Source organism: Homo sapiens, chromosome 10, assembly GCF_000001405.40.
Source record: "Homo sapiens chromosome 10, GRCh38.p14 Primary Assembly".
Lineage (NCBI taxonomy): Eukaryota > Metazoa > Chordata > Mammalia > Primates > Hominidae > Homo > Homo sapiens.
Genome location: NC_000010.11, coordinates 74,813,095 through 74,831,795, shown reverse-complemented (window position 1 = coordinate 74,831,795; position 18,701 = coordinate 74,813,095). Strand labels below are relative to the sequence as shown.

At 48.5% G+C, this 18,701-nt stretch overlaps 1 protein-coding gene across 35 annotated transcripts in view, besides 7 other annotated features; it reads right to left on the bottom strand.

Moving 5' to 3' along the window:
• The window catches only part of KAT6B (lysine acetyltransferase 6B), a 207,689-nt gene extending 200,829 nt beyond the window's left edge, over positions 1 to 6,860 (bottom strand). For 14 of the 35 annotated variants that reach the window (XM_047424911.1, XM_047424918.1, XM_047424922.1 and 11 more), the window contains exon 1: positions 6,122 to 6,317. The gene's annotated coding sequence lies outside the window, so the exon portion shown is untranslated. Of the gene's footprint in view, positions 1 to 5,010; positions 5,197 to 6,121; positions 6,318 to 6,435 lie in introns of those variants that run through there. The other 21 variants (NM_001370137.1, XM_047424917.1, XM_047424926.1 and 18 more) reach the window with 3 other exon arrangements.
• Positions 4,731 to 5,130: a silencer, noted in NCBI's record as "silent region_2504". NCBI's record gives its function as "represses an Ori minimal core promoter by ATAC-STARR-seq in GM12878 lymphoblastoid cells {active_cell/tissue: GM12878}" and the evidence as "EXISTENCE:reporter gene assay evidence [ECO:0000049][PMID:35858748]".
• Positions 5,346 to 6,117: an enhancer, noted in NCBI's record as "NANOG-H3K27ac hESC enhancer chr10:76585437-76586208 (GRCh37/hg19 assembly coordinates)". NCBI's record gives its function as "activates a minimal SCP1, AML or CMV promoter by ChIP-STARR-seq in naive H9 embryonic stem cells {active_cell/tissue: H9 hESC(naive)}" and the evidence as "EXISTENCE:reporter gene assay evidence [ECO:0000049][PMID:30033119]".
• Positions 5,821 to 6,020: a silencer, noted in NCBI's record as "silent region_2503". NCBI's record gives its function as "represses an Ori minimal core promoter by ATAC-STARR-seq in GM12878 lymphoblastoid cells {active_cell/tissue: GM12878}" and the evidence as "EXISTENCE:reporter gene assay evidence [ECO:0000049][PMID:35858748]".
• Positions 6,118 to 6,889: an enhancer, noted in NCBI's record as "H3K27ac-H3K4me1 hESC enhancer chr10:76584665-76585436 (GRCh37/hg19 assembly coordinates)". NCBI's record gives its function as "activates a minimal SCP1, AML or CMV promoter by ChIP-STARR-seq in primed H9 embryonic stem cells {active_cell/tissue: H9 hESC(primed)}" and the evidence as "EXISTENCE:reporter gene assay evidence [ECO:0000049][PMID:30033119]".
• Positions 6,131 to 6,230: a silencer, noted in NCBI's record as "silent region_2502". NCBI's record gives its function as "represses an Ori minimal core promoter by ATAC-STARR-seq in GM12878 lymphoblastoid cells {active_cell/tissue: GM12878}" and the evidence as "EXISTENCE:reporter gene assay evidence [ECO:0000049][PMID:35858748]".
• Positions 6,341 to 6,510: a silencer, noted in NCBI's record as "silent region_2501". NCBI's record gives its function as "represses an Ori minimal core promoter by ATAC-STARR-seq in GM12878 lymphoblastoid cells {active_cell/tissue: GM12878}" and the evidence as "EXISTENCE:reporter gene assay evidence [ECO:0000049][PMID:35858748]".
• Positions 7,021 to 7,070: a silencer, noted in NCBI's record as "silent region_2500". NCBI's record gives its function as "represses an Ori minimal core promoter by ATAC-STARR-seq in GM12878 lymphoblastoid cells {active_cell/tissue: GM12878}" and the evidence as "EXISTENCE:reporter gene assay evidence [ECO:0000049][PMID:35858748]".

Below are 18,701 nucleotides of genomic sequence, written 5' to 3'. Positions count from 1 at the left end.
TGTTTTACAGAACCGTTAAGAGGAATCACTGAGATAACAAATATGAAAGCAGCAAGGATGATGGCAGACACATAGCAGGAACACAATAAAATGCTAGCTCATAAAAGGAAAAAGGGCAATACAGTCAGCTGGAGACCTGTAAAATCTAATCTGGCTGAACTTCTGTCTATATGACCATTTTCTCCTAAGAGACAGGAGAAGTCAGCACCTGGCTCTTAGTTATAGCTGCAGAGAAGTAAAAATTCAAGACAGAGAACAGAAAAAAGTGAAGGAAAGCAAAAATAGATTGTAATGGTGAGGCTGGGGTCAAGAAGAGTGTATTTTACTCATAGTTATACATTGTTTAAGGTCAACAAAGCTTTAAAAAGATAGTACTGCATAGGAGAATATCTTATTGACCTCAGGGTAGGAAAAGTCTTAAAACAAGACACAAAAGGCACTAACCATAAAGTAAAGACCAATAAATTTGACTCCATTAAAATTAAGAACTTCTGTTCATTAAAAGACACCATAAAGAGAGTGAAAAGGCAAGCCACAGTATTTGCAACACACACACATGACAAAGGACTTGTATTCACAGTAAATAAAGAACTTCTAAATAGCAATAAAAGATACAAGGCCCAACTTTTAAAAGCAGGGTGGGAAAGACTTGAACAGAACTTTATAAATGAGGCTATCTAAATGGCTAAAAAAGTATATGAAGAGCTGGCCGGGTGCAGAGGCTCACGCCTGTAATCCCAGCACTTTGGGAGGCCAAGACGGGCGGGTCAACTGAGATCAGGAGTTTGAAACAAGCCTGCCCAACATGGCAAAACCCCATCTCTACTAAAAATACAAAAAATTAGCTGGTTGTGGTAGTGGGCACCTGTAATCCCAGCTACTCAGGAGGCTGAGGCAGGAGAATCGCTTGAACCCAGGAAGCAGAGGTTGCAGTGAGCCAAGATCACGCCACTGCACTCCAGCCTGGGTGACAAAAGCAAAACTCCGTCTCAAAAAAAAAAAAAAAAAAAAAAAAAAAAAAAAAAAATATATATATATATATATATATATATATATATATATATGAAGAGCTGTGCAATCTGATTACTAATCAGGTAAACGCAAAATTTACCATATTGGCTAAAATCATAAAAGCTAAAAAGGCTGAGATTGGAGAGGGCGAGAAGCAAGGGAATTCATATATTGCTGGAGGGAGTGTAACCTGGTACAATACTTTAGAAGAGTTTGGTACTTAGTAAAGATGAAGACAAGCATACCTTATGACTAGGTGACCATACAATTCATCATCTAACCCTAGATACTTTTGAAAACTAAAAGTGTTACAGTTACGCTGGGAAAATAAGCAAAAACCAGGACAAATGGTCACCCTAGCTATAAACCGGCAATTTCATTCCTAGGTGTATACCTTAGAGAAACTTGTGCACATGGGCACCAGATGACAGGTATAGGAATGCTCATAGCAGCTTTGTTCACAATTGCCCCAAACTTGAAACAACTCAAATATTCGGCAACAATGGAATAGATGATACGAAAATTGGTGTATTCTCTTTCTGGGGTCTGCGAGAAGACAGGTATCAGAAGATCATGGGAGTTCTATAAAAAGATGCTTAAAGGTGCTTTGGAAATGCAAATTAAGGCATTAAAGGGAAGAAATATCCCATCACCCCACTTCTCTCATCCACGCATCATTTACCATTCTGCAACAAAGACTGATCACTACAGCTTACACATCCCTACTTACATAAAATATTTTTCTTTTTTTTTTGTTTTTTTTTTTTTGAGACAGAGTCTCGCTCTGTCGCCAGGCTGGAGTGCAGTGGTGCAATCTCAGCTCACTGCAACCTCCGCCTCCCAGGTTCAAGTGATTCGCCTGCCTCAACCTCCTGAGCAGCTGGGACTACAGGCGCCCGCCACCATGCCCAGCTAATTTTTTGTATTTTTAGTAGAGATGGGGTTTCACCATGTTGGCCAGGATGGTCTTGATTTCTTGACCTCGTGATCCATCCACCTCGGCCTCCCAAAGTGCTGGGATTACAGGCGTGAGCCACCACACCCAGCCACATAAAACTATTTATTTAATCCCAGCACTCTGGGAGGCCGAGGTGAGTGGATCACCTGAGGTCAGGAGTTTGAGACCAGCCTGGCCAACATGGCGAAACCCCACCTCTACTAAAAATACAAAAATTAGCTGGGCACATGTCTGTAATCCTAGCTACCCGGGAAGCTGAGGCAGGAGAATCACCTGAATCCAGGAGGTGGAGGTTGCAGTGAGCCGAGATCGTGCCACTGCACTCCAGCCTGGGCAACAGAGCAAGACTGTCTCAAAAAAAAAAAAAAAACTATTTCCTTTTCTCTCAGTACAAATGTAGGCATGTGTAAGCACGTGGAAAACTGAGGGTACACTGTAGAGAACTAGGAGACTGAAAGCCAGATCACTTAGTTACGTCTTTTACTAATTGATACGTGAAAGTCCATGAGAGCTTATGAAGCACATTAAAATTATTAAACTTCCTCATCTACTTTCTAATACTCATGCTATTTACCTTTCATTCATGCTATGCCTCACATCTGACAGTTTCCACCCAATCTTCAAAAGCAGTGTGTGAAATAAACACATGCTATAATAGCAATGACATAATATCCACTCTACTCAGAAGCCTAAGTGTGGCTAGTAAGCAAAACTTCCTCTGCCGACCGTGTCATGACCATCAGCCATTCCCTAAATTCCTCTTTTAATGTTAAAATCTTCCTCTGTCTCTCTCTTTTCTTTTCTTTTTTTTTTTTTTTAAACCATCACTTCACCACTCCAACCTTTAACTCTCAGTAGAAGTTCTCGGAAAAGAAAAAACATGTGCATTATCCTTTCCTTCTTAAAAACATAAAATACTGTCCAAATTCATTCTGATAAATGTGTAAAGAACTTATGAATGGCCGGGCGCGGTGGCTCACGCCTGTAATCCCAGCACTTTGGGAGGCCGAGGCGGGCAGATCACAAGGTCAAGAGTTCGAGACCATCCTGGCTAACACGGTGAAACCCCGTCTCTACTAAATATACAAAAAATTAGCGGGGCGTGGTGGCAGGCGCCTGTAGTCCCAGCTACTCCGGAGGCTGAGGCAGGACAATGGCGTGAACCCGGGAGGCGGAGCTTGCAGTGAGCCGAGATGGCGCCACTGCACTCCAGCCTGGGCGACAGACTGAGACTCCGTCTCAAAAAAAAAAAAAAAAAAAAAAAGAACTTATGAGTAAGAAAAAAATGGAGTGTTTTATTTCAAGGCTATGCCAAAAAATCTAGGGTATACAAGTAAGACAGGAAGAATGCACTTTAAAAAAAAAAAAACACAAAAAACCTTCTTGGGGCCCCATAGAACTAAGACTGTTCGAACACAACTAATTTCCATTTGCTATTTCCACCTTCTGTCCATATAGGAGGGGCCCTCATATGCTCTACCCTGAATTTCCTTGGTACCTCCAACCCCAAACATACTTGGTTCGTTGGTCTTCATTTCCTATTTCCCACATCTGTAATTCTTTATCACTACCCCTTCACAACTTCTGTCTAACACTCTCTTTAACACGTCCCAACACCTTCTACCAATTACAGGGCTTAAACTCCTTCATGGGGCATAGGACACCATTTGTAATCTAACCCCTCCTCTGCCTTTGCCTGGTCATCTCCTACCACTCCCTGCACTCTGCCCACAGCAAAGTACTAGCAAATTCAAAGCTATGCAAAATGTCCTATCCCAAGGTATGGTGCATGTCTCTTCCTGGGATACCCTGCTGCCGGACACTCCCTTGAAGACTCCAGATCAAGTTTAACATAATGAATCCAGCGTATCACGGGTCGCCATAGCTCACGTCTGTAATCCCATCAGTCAGGCAGAGGTGGGCAGATCACTTGAGGCCAGGAGTTCGAGACCAGCCTGGGCAACATAGTGAGACCCTTTTCTCATTTTTATAAAAAATAATAAATACAGCCTATCAAACAACTTGTCTCCCAAACTAACACCTTTCTCTGCCCCATCCTCACCCCTGGCACAGTCCACCAAATCACATTCACCGAAAATTACTGTACAGCTCCACCCACTTTCTTCACACCTGCCGCCTTGTCCCACCCCTACCAATCCCTTGTCCCCAGGAGATTTTCTGCCACAGATTTTGCAAGTTCTAAGCAGCCTCTCTCCCCTTCCTTCATATTTAAGTTTGCTCTGCTGTCTTAGCATCATCTTTCAGAAACTCTCCCAAGCACAACCATCCCATCCTTCCACGTTTTTAAAAAATACTTCATACCCCAAAGCTAGCAAACCTCCTTCTTATTCCAACATGCGATCCACCCAGATACCTCTTTCCCATCACTGCAATCGTACCTGCTCCTCACATGCGCCTCAATGCCTCCCCAAACCCCTCAACGCCTCCCCAAACCCAACACTCTGCACCGCTTCAACTCTACTCCACATCCACCACACCCAAACCCACCTACTCTGCGCCCAGACAACTGCAATCTCGCCTTCGGTATCATCTCACCTGCCCTCACACACCCCTCGGTCCGCCTTCCACTTCTCTCAAATTGCATCCCTCCCTAACTCTCCCTCTGCACCTGCTTCTACACCTTCAGCTTCTCCTCCCACCCAACCCTCACTAGTCTTCCTCACACCCTCGCCGGCCCCCCACCGCTCCTACCAGTTCACTCCCACTCAGAAATTCCCTCTCAGCCCCCGCCTTCCGACTCCCCGAACCCCGCCCCCACCCGATCCCGCCCCGCCCCCCTCCGCCCTCGAGCCCCGCCCCCTTGCCCTAGAGCCCTGCCGAGGGGCGGGGCCTGTCCCTCCTCCCCTTTCCCCCGCCCCCTACCGTCACGCTCAGGGGCAGCCTGACCCCGAGCGGCCCCGCGGTGACCCTCGCGCAGAGGCCTGTGGGAGGGGCGTCGCAAGCCCCTGAATCCCCCCCCGTCTGTTCCCCCCTCCCGCCCAGTCTCCTCCCCCTGGGAACGCGCGGGGTGGGTGACAGACCTGGCTGCGCGCCACCGCCACCGCGCCTGCCGGGGGCGCTGCCGCTGCCTGAGAAACTGCGGCTGCCGCCTGGAGGAGGTGCCGTCGCCTCCGCCACCGCTGCCGCCGCCGCCAGGGGTAGGAGCTAAGCCGCCGCCATTTTGTGTCCCCCTGTTGTTGTCGTTGACATGAATCCGACATGACACTGATTACAGCCCAATGGAGTCTCATTAAACCCGAGTCGCGGTCCCGCCCCGCCGCTGCTCCATTGGAGGAGACCAAAGACACTTAAGGCCACCCGTTGGCCTACGGGTCTGTCTGTCACCCACTCACTAACCACTCTGCAGCCCATTGGGGCAGGTTCCTGCCGGTCATCTCGCTTCCACATAAACACACCCCTCGACCCATCATCCCCCCCTCCGGCACCACCCCGGGGGAGGGTCCACTGCCAATACCAATCAACAGACCGCTGGGTCCGCCTCTTCCGGGCACCTATTGGTCCAGCCCTTTTTCTCTCTCCTAGATACCGCGCCACCTCTACTTCCACCTACCCGCCCCCTCCACCTCTAGGAAAGGATTGGGTCTACTCGCAGCAGAGGAGCGTAGCCTTATTGGCTGCAGACGACGCCAATCAGGAGGCCTTTTCCCTCTCCCCTCCCCCACTCAACCCCAAACCCCCTAGCCCGCAGCTAAAGTTTGTGTGAGAGCTGATCGCTGGCGGCGGCCGCAGGATTTAGGGGTGGGCGCGGGCGGGCGCGCGCGGGCGGGCACGCGAAGTTAAAATTCGAGGTTCTCAGTCGCCAGCTCCTTCGGTGGAGTGTGCGGACGGGCGCGCCGCCCGGAGCGTTCCATCCCGCCCCCTCCTCCACCCTCTCTCCCGTCCCGTCCCGTCCCGGGCGACTACTCGCCCGCCCCCTGGCTCGCATCCTTCCCCCCCCAACACACCCCTACCCTGCCAGCCCCAGGCCGGGTGCAGGCAGAACGATGTCGCTGCAGCCTCCTCGCCATCCCATGCCTCGGGGGAGCAAGCCCCTACCCACCGGGCGTGCACCCCCCGGCTCCACACTCGCCCGTGTCTGCAAGCACGTGCACCGCTCGCCGCTGCCTCCGGCCACCCGGGTCCCCGGCTAACCTCGCCTGCAGCCCGGCCAATCGCTCGCTGCCCTTTGTTGCTGCAGCCTGGGTCTCCCCGCTGCCTTCCTCAGCCTCCGCCTCGTCCTTTGCCAGCCGCCCGGGTCCGCAGCGCCGCGCTCCCCCCGCCCGGGACCCACCGCCGCCGCCTCCTTCTCCTCCTCCGCCTCCTCCTCCTCGGCTCCGGGCTGCAGCGCACAGAGCCCGAGGCAGCGCCGCCCAGCCCCGCTCCCCCCGCGCCGCCCGCCAGCCCGCCCGGCCTGGCCGGGGGCGCAGCCCGGACCCCGCCCGCCCCAGTCTCCGCCCCGGGGGTACCTGCCTCCGCCCCGGGGGGCTCCTCTCGCCGCCCTCGGGGGAGGGCGGAGACGCTGGTGTCCGCGGGAGGATGGGGACGCCTGGGCCGTTTGGGGCGGGGAGTGTGCCCGCCAGGGCTGGGACTGAGGTGCGGTCCTCGCCAACGCGTCCCCACTCCCGTCGCTGTGGGCCCCAAACTTCGTCCTTCGCCCAGGCTTTGCGCCTTCGGGCGATCGCGGCAGTTTTGGGGTGGGGGACGCCTCGGGAGCTGTGTCTACCCTGATCGGGAGGAAGAGGGAGCAGTGACATTCAGCGACTGCGGACAGGGCACGGCGGCGGCATCCTTGTGTGGGAGTGGGGATGTCAGACGCGGGCTGGAGGGGGAAGCTGCCCCCCAGGATGCTCTCTCCCTGCCTGCGAGGAGCTGGCGAGCTCAGCCGCGTTCTGGGTGCTTTCTTGGGCGGTGCAGGCGGATGGCAGAGGGGCTGAGGCGGGAGGGGGGCGGGGAAGACCGCTGGGGGGCCCTTCCCCCCCTCTCTTTTAGCCAGCGCTGTAAGGAAGGCTGATGGCGAAGTTCGGTTTTCCAGGCTTCCCCTGGGCCCCCCGAGTTCCTGAGGCCCACTTGAGGGAGACTGGGGGCTCCTCTGGCCGCCCAGGCGAGGCCACTCTGACGCTGCCCACATGCCTCCCAGAGCTCTCTGGACTCTGAAGAGAGCGCCCCTGGTTCTTTCCGGAGGTGAATGGGATGCTGGCAAGGGAGACTTCAGAAAATAGGAAAGGTGGGCTGAGAAATGGCTCCTAGAGAGTTTGAGCACGAAGTTTCCCTCCCAGGCGCCATTTCTTTGAGAGGGGGAGGAGAACTATGGCTTTGCAAAAGAACCAAGTTTCAGGCATGGTGGCCTGGGTGGAAAACCACCTGTTGCCTGAAGTCTGTCCCTGGAGTCAGGGCCATCTTGGGCCTGGGCATGGCTATGCCGGGTGCCAGGGAGGGGAGGCCCCAGGCTTCCTGCCCTGGTTGACTCCTGCAGCCTCATGCCACTGACACTGCAGCGGCATCTTCACCTTCCCATTAGAAACCACTGTACAACTAGGTAGGTACTTTGTTAGGACAACTTATCTTCGTCCTTATCTCAGACAAAACAAGCAGCACACGCAGCCCTGTCTTCAAATGCAGACCACAACACACACTTCATTTTTTAAAGATGGTCTGCTGCTTTGGGGTGTGAGCTCCCTCTCCTCCTGAGCTTCTTGGCAGCAAGGTGAGAAAGGAACTTAGACAAAGGGCACAGAGTTGGATGAAAGGATAGAGAAAGGTCGAGGGGGAGCAGAAGAATTGTAATACTACACTACAAACTGTCACCGGTTCCATTATAAACAGTTTTTATAGGTGTTTTATTACTTGGTTGTTAGTTTTTTAAAACACAAACCTCTTTAGATTAAATCTTGGCATTCACAGGCTCAGCCCAGGGAAACAAAACACAGAGAAAACTCCAGCCATCCGCTTGGCTACTTTTGAGTTACATTACTGATAAAACAAACAGCAGGTTGGGTTTCCTCAGACTCTGTCTCAGCCTCGTTTATTTAGTATCTTCAATAGCTTGCTCAAGGCGAATTTTTACAAACCATTAGTTAGTTCATAATTCAGTGTAGTTCACTTAGGTGTTTCGAAGAGAAGGACACTTATAAGGTGTGCTTTTTTATAATGCAGGTGCTGGGATTTTTATTCTCCAAGAAGTTACTAAATAAACTTAAGAATCCTGGCCCACTCTTTATTTAGGCTTTCTGTTCTTTTTTTTTCTTATGGTCTGCCCAGATGCACTTTATTTTGTAAATTACATTTGTGACCCTCAGACTGCATTTTATCTCAAGCAATAAAAATAAACCATGCCTTAATTAAAAACAAGTTTGAAAACCCCAAATCTGTACACTCAAACTAAAGTATGTTAAAAGAAGCAGCTAAAGACAATAAAAGCCAAAAAGTCCACGTTTAAGATGCCTTCAGCCAATGAATTGTGGGTGATTTGTGAGCACCCAACACTCATTATCACTAATGTATTATTCCACAAGGATCTCCAGTGCATCAAGAAGTGAAGAGACACCTTAGAGAGAAATCGGCTATGTTTGCCTAAACCTGTGCTCTTGTAACCCCAGGAGATCAGGAATACAGAAGAGAGAAATGTCTTCATTCAACCTCTTGATATGTTTTCTTGAGATTCTGTTCTTAACAAGCATAGTTCTGTAACGGGGATGTGGCAAGGAATCCATAGCTTTCCCATTGATACTCCCCTCTAGGGTTACTTGTCCTTTGAGAAATCTGGCTCTTCAGATAAGTGGGACTGGAAAGGATAATAAGAGACACAGTCAGAGATATTTAATGCTTACTCCTAAACCGCTCTCTTATCTGTGGTATCTCAGGTCCTCTGCTGAGCTAAATAGCTCAATTAAGAAATTAACCTAGAAATAGCCTGAATTGAAAACCAAGCATGGTGCAAATTTTGCAAGCCTACTGGGCTGGAGGATTATGAATGGAGAAGCTTATCTGACCTGTCCCCCACAACCCCAAAACAGCTGCCAGCCACCACCACAGACCAGAACCACTGACTAGTTATACTGCTCCATGCAATCTACAGATCACTGGAATCAGAATGATCTGGGAATGAGTGTTTGAAAGACAGTTTCCTTGGCCCAACCCCAGAGATTCTGATTCAGTAAGTCTGAAGCGAGTCTCCCAAAAATATATTTTTAGCTCATGACTAGTCTTGAAGCTTACAGTCACTAAATTTGAGAACCACTGGCCTAGGCTAAATCTTCTTCTTCCCCAACCGAGGAAGTTACTTCTTCTGTGAGTGTCTTAGCCAAAAGGTTATAGTCCCTAGTACTGGGCTGATTTCATGATCTGACCTATTTGTCCTTGAGTTCTGAACAAGAATAATAAAGTGCAGAGGAGCTGCAGGAACCTCTGGGAACCCAGATGGTTTGATCTTTTGGGTTTGTTTACTTGCTCTGAAGCAAGTCAGACAAACAGCCTGATAAGAGGTACCACATCCACAGAGGCACTACCAAGTCCTTCTAAAGGAAATTGGGTAAGGAGGCACAGGCAAGGACGCTAAACGTATTTGTCCAGGGCCCAGCCCATGGTGAATTCTATTTACATTCAATTAGTCACTTAAAAAACATTGATCTACACCTCCCTTCCAACTGCCACATGGAATCCTCTCCCTTCATTGACTAGAAACTGACCCCACAAGGTCACAATGTCTGGTTACTTCAGTCAAGGGCAGAGGGGATGGGGGATGATCAGTCAAAGCATTAAACTGGTTAGGAAATTCTAGCTACAGCTGCCTTTATGAACAGCTGGGGTTATCTCAAATACCAGTATTCTGTACCCACATCTAATTTATGCATTCCTGCTTTAAAACCTTTAACGTCTTTTAAATGCGTTCTGGACCAAGCCTAAACCCCTTAGTCCTCTAAAGGTATGCATATCTGCACCTCACTAGTATCTCATCTCCAGCTTCCCGAGCCTGCCACTTGTCTGTGCCCAGCACACCCTGTCCTCACTGCGATGCCCTCACTCCCTGCCTTATCTGATAAAGACCTTGGCTAAGCACTCCTCCCAATTCCTGCTTGGCTGCTGCCTCCTCTGTGAAGTTTTCCTGGTTTTTGCAGGTAGCCCACAGGACTGAGAGCCTGGCTTCACTCCAGCACTGGCGCTTGTTAAGTGCTTAGCTAATATTTGTTGAATTATGGAATAAATAAAAGCATTTACCCTACTCTCTTGTCATATTTTGCCTGTTTTCCTAATTAGCTTTTCTACTGCATGGACCAGTTTGTTCATCTGTGTAACTGCCCTAGTGCCATAAAAGCTACTTAATGAAGACACACCATTCATACCTGTGGTTTGCCTCCCTGGCCACACGTAGCAATCACCTGAGGAGCTCTTGAACCAGCCTAGAGCCTAAGTCCCACGTAAGGCCAATTAAATTAGAATATTTGGGGAGAGGGGCCCTTCATCAGCATTTTTCCAAATCACCCTGTGCAGTCAGGGTGAACAACCATTGATTTATTTCTTATTTATTTATTTATCTTAAGACAGGGTCTTGTTCCTGTTGCCCATGCTGGAGTGCAGTGGCACAATCATGCCTCACTGCAGCCTCAACTTCCCAGGCTCAGGCGATCCTCCCACCTCAGCCTCCGGTTAGCTGGGACTACAGGAGTATGCCATCACACCCGGCTAATTTTTTGTATTTTTAATAGAGACAGGGTTTCACCATGTTGCCCAGGCTGGTCTTGAACTCCTGGGTTCAAACAGCCTCCAAAAGTACTGGAATTACAGGGCCCGTAATCCCAGCACTTTGGGAGGCCGCTTGAGCCCAGGAGGTCAAGACTAGCCCGACCATTGATTTCTATAAACCAGAAACATGCCTCAGCCTCAAATGAGAGATTCTGAGGAAGACAGGAGAGTGATAAGAGATTGTAGAATTAGCTAAAGATTGTTGAAGAACAAAGTTGTCGGGGATCTTTTGGTTTTTGTTTTGAGACTCAAAGGTGAGGTGGCCTTTCACTAATCATATCAATTAGTGATGTCCAAATAGTCTTAATAAAGACAGTTTTTAGCACCAGGCTATACCAAAGAAAATTTGGACAGGGTATGGTGACTCACACCTGTATTCCCAATGCTTTGGGAGGCTGAGATGGGAGGATGGCTGGAGGCCAGGAGTTTGACACCAGCCTAGGCAAGATAGCCAGACCCCTATCTCTATAAAAAATTTAAATATTAGCCAGACATGGTGACACACACCTGTAGTCTCAGCTACTGGGGAGGCTGACGTGGGAGGATCACTTGAGCCCAGGAGTTGGAGGCTACAGTGAGCTATGACTCCATCACTGCACTCCAGCCTGGGTGACAGAGTAGAACCCTGTCTCTAAAAAACAAAAATTTGAACCACCCCAGTGTTTAACTTTGCGATTCACAGTCTTTTGGATTTTGTAGGAGAGTAACACTTCAAAAAGAATTTGAGGAAACTGAGAGTTGCCAACTTTTTTTTTTTTTTTGAGATGGAGTTTCGCTCTTGTTGCCCAGGCTGGAGTACAATGGCACAATCTCGGCTCACCACAACCTCTGCCTCCTGGTTTCAAGCAATTCTCATGCCTCAGCCTCCCAAGTAGCTGGGATTACAGGCATGCACCACCATGCCTGGCTAATTTTGTATTTTTAGTAGAAACAGGGTTTCTCCATGTCAGTCAGGCTGATCTTGAACTCCTGACCTCAAGTGATCTGCCCGCCTTGGCCTCCCAAAGTGCTGGGATTACAGGCGCGAGCCACCGTGCCCGGCCACCAACTTTTAATTTTGATAATAAGGACATTTTTAAAAAGAACTAATGGCTATCTACTATCAGCATCATTTCACAGAATAAAGGACATTTTATCCCCCAAAATAGTAAGAAGAACATACTCCCTGAATAAAAGATAGCCCTTCCCATGAAAAAAGAGTGGGCAACTTTATATCAATATGTTCATTTTCTCACTTTTTTCTTCTTTTTTTATTTTCTATTTCAATATAGACAATGAAACTATCTTCGTATCTGGTTAACTGACCAGAGTACATTTAAGAATCACTGGACTACTTTATAAATTTACAGGGGTAAGGAAGTATAAGTCAAGTTTAATTTAACTACTAACAATTTTCTCCAGTTTTTGCAACCTAATGTGCGCATCTAACTGGAAAGAGGTTTTTTTTCTTATTCTTTTTTTTTTTTTTTTCGAGACAGAGTCTCACTCTGTCGCCCAAGCTGGAGTGCAGTGGTACGATCTCAGCTCACTGGAATCTCTGCCTCCTCGGTTCAAGTGATTCTCCTGCCTCAGCCTCCCAAGTAGCTGGGACTGCAGGCCCATGTCACCATGCCTGGCTAATTTTTGTATTCTTAGTAGAGATGAGGTTTCGCCATGTTGCCGAAGTTGGTCTCAAACTCCTGAGCTCAAAGTGATCCACCTTCCTCGGCCGCCTCAGCCTCCTAAAGTGCTGGGATTACAGGCGTGAGCCACCACATTCGGCTAACTTTTTTGTATTTTTAGTAGAGACGGGGTTTTGCCATGTTGGCCAGGCTGATCTTGAACTCCTGACCTCAGGTGATCCGCCCGCCTCAGCCTCCCAAAGTGCTGGGATTACAAGCATGAGCCACTGCGCCTGGCCAATTTTTCACCATAATTGCAGACAGGGGCCCTGAATTTGCCTTTCCAGCTATAAGGTAACCAATGCAGACAGCATCAGGTCATTCAAGTTGGCAAGTTCATTATTTCCTCTTTAAATGTATTTTTTAAAAATGAGATAAAGTTGGCTGGGCGCGGTGGCTCACTCCTGTAATCCCAGCACTTTGGGAGGCCAAGGCGGGCGGATCACGAGGTCAGGAGATTGAGACCATCCTGGCTAACCTGGTGAACCCTGTCTCTACTAAAAATACAAAAAAATTAGCTGGGCGTGGTGGCGGGTGCCTATAGTCCCAGCTACTTGGGAGGCTGAGGCAGGAGAATGGTGTGAACCTGGGAGGCGGAGTTTGCAGTGAGCCAAGATCAGGCCATTGCATGCCAGACTGGGTGACAGAGCAAGACTCCGGCTTAAAAAAAAAATGAGATAAGGTCTCACTATATTATCCAGGCTGGTCTTGAACTCTTGAGCTCAAGCGAACTTCCCGCTTTGGCCTCCCAAAGTGGCAGGTTCATTATTGAACTTCAGGTTAAAGTTCATCTTTCAAGTTGCATCCCAAGGAAGGCCAAGGGGATCAGTCTGGTGAACCATTTCACCAGCTTGATACCTCTCTGATACCTACTGGTATCAGTAACGAGACTGCTTGTAAGAGGGCATAGCTCAGCTTCATACAGCCTTGTTTTTTTTTTTGAGACTGAGTCTTGCTCTGTTGCCCAGGCTGGAGCGCAGTGGCACGATCTCGGCTCACTGCAACCTCCACCTCCCGGGTTCAAGCAATTCTTTGCCTCAGCCTCCCAAATAGCTGGGATTACAGGCACCTACCGCCATACCCAGCTAATTTTTGTACTTTCAGTAGAGACAGGGTTTCAACATCTTGGCCAGGCTGGTCTTGAACTCCTGACCTCGTGATCCACCCACCTCAGCCTCCCAAAGTGCTGGGATTACAGACGTAAGCCACCACACCTGAGCCTTTTTTTTTTTTTTTTTTTTTTTTTTGAGACAGAGTCTTGCTCTGTCATTCAGGCTGGAATGCAGTGGTGCAATCTCAGATCAGCCTCCCAGACTCAAGCAATTCTTCTGCCTCAGCCTCCTGAGTAGCTGGGACTACAGGCGTGCACCACCATACCCGGCTAATTTTTGTGTTTTTAGTAGAGATGGGGTTTCACCATGCTGGCCAGGCTGGTCTTGAACTCCTGACCTCAAGTGATCCGCCCACCTTGGCCTCCCAAAGTGCTGGGATTACAGGAGTGAGCCACCGCACTCAGCCTACAACCTTGCCTATAAATTGCTTCAGGGTTGGGATTGGGGTTGGTTCATCTTTATATTCTCCAAAGTGTCTTGCACATAGTAGTAATAAATAATGTTAAGTAAAATAAAAGGTTAAGGATCTGTTATCTGTTTATCTAAGATCTATCTGTCTAAATTCAGAAATTAGACTGTAAACTTCATATGCTTACAGATTTCTTGTAAATGTCAAACACATCATAGACATTCATTAAATACATGAAGCCTGCATGAATATATTTCCTAACTACCGTAAAGTAGTACTTCCTGTTACCCAGTCTAAAACCACTTTTTCTACTCTGTGTGTGTTTGTTGAAGAGTGACTTTAAACACGTAGCATCTTAGCATTTGACCAATGGAGTGTTCTATTTTTATTACATGTACTACATTTGCTATTTTTTTCTGTGGTATATATGTACATACATAGTCTTGGAACTGTTCCCATTGTACCTTTTCTCTTTCCAAAATCAAGTATCATATTTTGAGGACCTCTTATCTGAGCTGCCCCTTCTGGTGTTTGCAGCCTATTCATCTGCTCCATGTGCCTCACTTCCATGGCCAATGTGACTTGGCATATCTGTTACCGAGACTGAGATCTGTTTTCTACCAATTCCAATGCCACACATGGAGTCATAACCTGTGGTAAACAGTCTGTAATAATTCCTAGATTTCGTTTCCTGAATTGCAACTGATGACATGAAATAACTCTAAGTTCAGCTTATTTGTAATTTGTAATATCTTTCTCTGTAGCAGAAAAATTAGTGTTCACCAAATAGTCCCTGTGCACCCCTGCATTTCATAGCCTTCCCCTCCATTAGGTTAGAACCATGTGGCTAGTTTCAGCCAATGGATGAGAAGCTGAAATGATATGTGTTACTTCTGGTTCAAAGAGTTAAGAACCAGAGTGAGTCATTCTCCATTCCTCTCTTCCCCTTCGGTAGTATCTCAGAAGCCATGTGTTCCAGATGATGAGCTACAAGTTAGCAGAGCTGCCATTAGCGTGGACCCCTAAGTAACTGCATGGAGCAGACTCCTCCCACTTGTTCTGATATGTAACAGGAGAAATACACCTTATTGTGTTAAGCCGAAGAGATGCTGAAGTTTTTCTGCTATAGCAGGTGGTATTGCTTAACCTAAATTAACAAACAGTAGTGTTCAGGGGATATGTTCCAAGATTCCCAGTGGATGCCTGAAACCACAGATAGTACTGAATCCTATATATACTATGGTTTTTTTTCTATATATACATATCTATGATAAAGTTTAATCTATAAATTAGGCACAGTAAAAGATTAGCAACAACAATTAATAATAAAATAGAGCCAGGGCAACAAAATTTATTGTAGCATCTCTACAAAAAATTTAAAAATTAGCTGTTCACATGCCTGTAATCCCAGCTACTTAGCAGGCTGAGTTGGGAGGACAGCTTGAGCCTGGAAGGTTGAGGCTGTGGTGAGCATGATCATGCCACTGCACTCCAGCCTGGGTGACAGAGTGAGACTCTATCTCAAAATAATTATTAATAATTTAAAAACAGAAAAAATATAATAATATACTGTACTAAAAGTTATGGGAATGTAGTCTCCCTCTCAAAATATCTTATTGTACCCTTCTTGTGATGAAGAAAGGATGGAGGGATGGTGTGAGATTTCATCATGCTACTTGTTTATTTCTGGAATTTTTCATTTAATATTTTTAGACCACATTGACTTCAGGTAACTGAAACTGCAGAAAGCAAAGCCATGGATGGCAGGGAGAACCACTGTGTTCCCTAAATGCAATACGACCCAAATATCTTCCTTTTTCATTTTTTTGAGATGCAGTCTCACTCTGTCACCCAGACTGGAGTGCAGTGGTGTGATCTCGACTCACTGCAACTCCACCTCCCAGGTTCCAGTGATTGTTCTGCCTCAGCCTCCCAAGTAGTTGGGATTACAGGCACCCTCCACCACACCTGGCTAATTTTTTGTATTTTTAGTAGAGACAGGGTTTCGCCAGTTTGGCCAGGCTGGTCTTGAACTCCTGACCTCAGGTGATCCGTTTGCCTCGGCTCCCAAAATGCTGGGATTACAGGGGTGAGCCACTGCACCCGACCCAAATATTTTTCTTAAAGCCATACCTTTCTGCCCTTCTGCCGTCTGCCATGTGAGGACGTAGTGCTCCTCCCCTGCAGAAGATGCAGCATTCAAGCCTTCATCTTTATTTTATTTTATTTTATTTTATTTTATTTTATTTTATTTTATTTTATTTTATTTTTGAGATGGAGTCTTGCTCTGTTGCCCAGGCTGGAGTGCAGTGGTGTGATCTTGGCTCATAGCAACCTCCACCTCCCAGATTGAAGTGATACTCCTGCCTCAGCTTCCCGAGTAGCTGGGATTACGGGCATGCACCACCATGCCCAGCTAATTGTTGTATTTTTAGTAGAGACAGGGTTTCACCATGTTGGTCAGGCTGATCTCGAACTCCTCACCTCAGGTGATCCGCTGCCCTCGGCCTGCCAAAGTGCTGGGATTACAGGCATGAGCCACCTCACCCGACCAAGGCTTCATCTTGGAAGCAGAGAGCAGTCCTCACCAGATGCCAGCACCTTGATCTTGGACTTCCCAGCCTCCAGAACTGTGAGAAATAAATTTCTGTTCTGTATAAATTACCCAGTCCTGGATATTTTCTTATAGCAACACAAAATGGACTAAGACAGAAATTGGCTTATTGGCTTCCAAATAATTAGCTTTCTCATAAGTGTAAGTAGAATTTTTTGGAAACAAGGATGTTGCTTGGGAGTACAGCTGTATCTGAAGAGAAAGAAATTCTGCCCAGTATCTGTTCAGTGGCCTCTTTGCAGCTTCCTCAGCCTAGTCTGGAGCTCTTAGTAACAGTTAATGACCTATGAGCTGATTTACAGGGTGGCTAGGGAAAGAACACTTTATTCCTGCCAATTAAAGGAGTTGGGGACTGATATTGGGGATAGTGTTGTGTAATTCTGTGGCTCCACTCAAAACCTCTGAGGAAGATAGTGTGGGAACTCAAGATGCTGAAGTGGACTGAGGGAGCATATTTGCTGAACATGTCTTTAGTGTTTGGTAGAACAATATTATTAATAATAGCTAACACTTTTGGAGCACTTACAACCTAAGTGAGTTCCCTGAATTGGCTCATGTAATCCTCATAACCATTCTCTTTAAATATTGCTATTATGCCCCATTTTACAGACAAGAAAACTGTGCTCTGAGGTGTTAAGCAGTTTCAGGGAGGTCAGAATTCCCAACTGAGCAGCTGATCATTGCACTCCACTTGCCCCTCAGTGAGGTCTGAATTCAGAGTCCAGGCCTGAAGTCACTGTTCTGTAAGGATGGCCCTTGGGGGCGGTTCAGGAGTCCAGGCCGGCACTGCCAGGACAGGCCTTTGGAACCCATGACCTCTCCCAGGCTGGAGAGGAAGCTGGCACCACCAAGGAGGCACAAAGATGGGGAAGCCAGGGAGAGCGAAGTGGCCTCGGGGACAGAAGGCAGGAGACCTGGCACTTAATGGATGAGATAGAGAGAAGGTGCTACTGGCAGCGACAGAAAAAGAACTGTCAGGGCCAGGACATGCAGAAGCCTGAGACCCCACCATCTCCAGCCTGCGAGGACACTGGAAGTACCAATTTTTGGACTGCAAAAGCCTCTCACTTAATTCATAGAAGCATTATTTTAGAGGGAGGTGGAATGGGCGACTGGGCACCTCAGGCGGCTGCTGGATGGGGGGTCCTCAGAGCTGCAAGCCTCCGCCATCCCTTGCCATCCCCTGCTGCCACCGGGCCTCCGATGCTCTGCGCCTTTGTCATTCCGCATCCCACGGTGCCAGCTAAGTCACTCAGCTGTCACAATGAGGCCTGGAGCTGCAGGATACAAAATAACTCTGGGGAGACCTCTCAGAGGCGAGGCGGGGGTGGGGGCGGGGTGGGAGGCGGTGGGGAGGGGAAGACTGGGCCCCAGGGGCGCGGAAAGGAGCACCAGCTGCCTCTTGCAAGTTGCTAAATTAGTTGGGCTGTTGTTTTTCCTTTAATTTTTGTGTGAATTCAAGAATAGGTCGCGGATGTCTTGGCAGCTTGTGAATGAGACCCTTCCTCAAAGAATTCACCTTGCTGAAGGGCTGCTGTCAGGCGCACAAAACTAAGCGAAGTAGGCTTTGCCCGCCGCCTCCTGCTCGCCCTCCCGGCAGGCGCGCTCGGCCTCCTTCCCCGCGCCTGCCTCCCGGACCCCGCGCTCCAAGCCGGCTACCCTGCCTCGCGGGCCATGCCCAGCCTGCCCGCTCCCGCCCGGCCTCACCCCGCCGGAGCAGCGACCTAAGCAGGAGGCAGGGGAGGCGGGCGGAGGGCTCTGGAAGTTGCCAGACTCGCTCCTGGCCCCGCGTCTCAGCGGCGAGCCCCGAAGCCACCCCAGGCGCGGACAAGGAGAGGGGCTTTCCGGTGACCGTGGCCCCAGGCATTTGTTACGCTTACAGAAGGCAATGCACGGATGGTGAGTATTAGCGTTGGTTTTTGTCTCAGTGGCACATCCAACTCCTTGCTGCCACCTTTCTCCATCTGAGTGCACCCAAGGCCCCTGGACTTGGGTCTCCAGGGTAAAGCCAAGGACCCGGAGCCTCAACAACGCGTCTGATGGCCTCGGCAGGAGCTTTTGCCCACGCAAGCGCACGTCTCTACTGGGATTTATTAAGAATCAACAGTTTACCTGGCGCGGTGGCCCATGCCTGTAATCCCAGCACTTTGGGAGGCCGAGGCAGGAGGATTGCTGGAGCTCAGGAGTTCGAGACCAG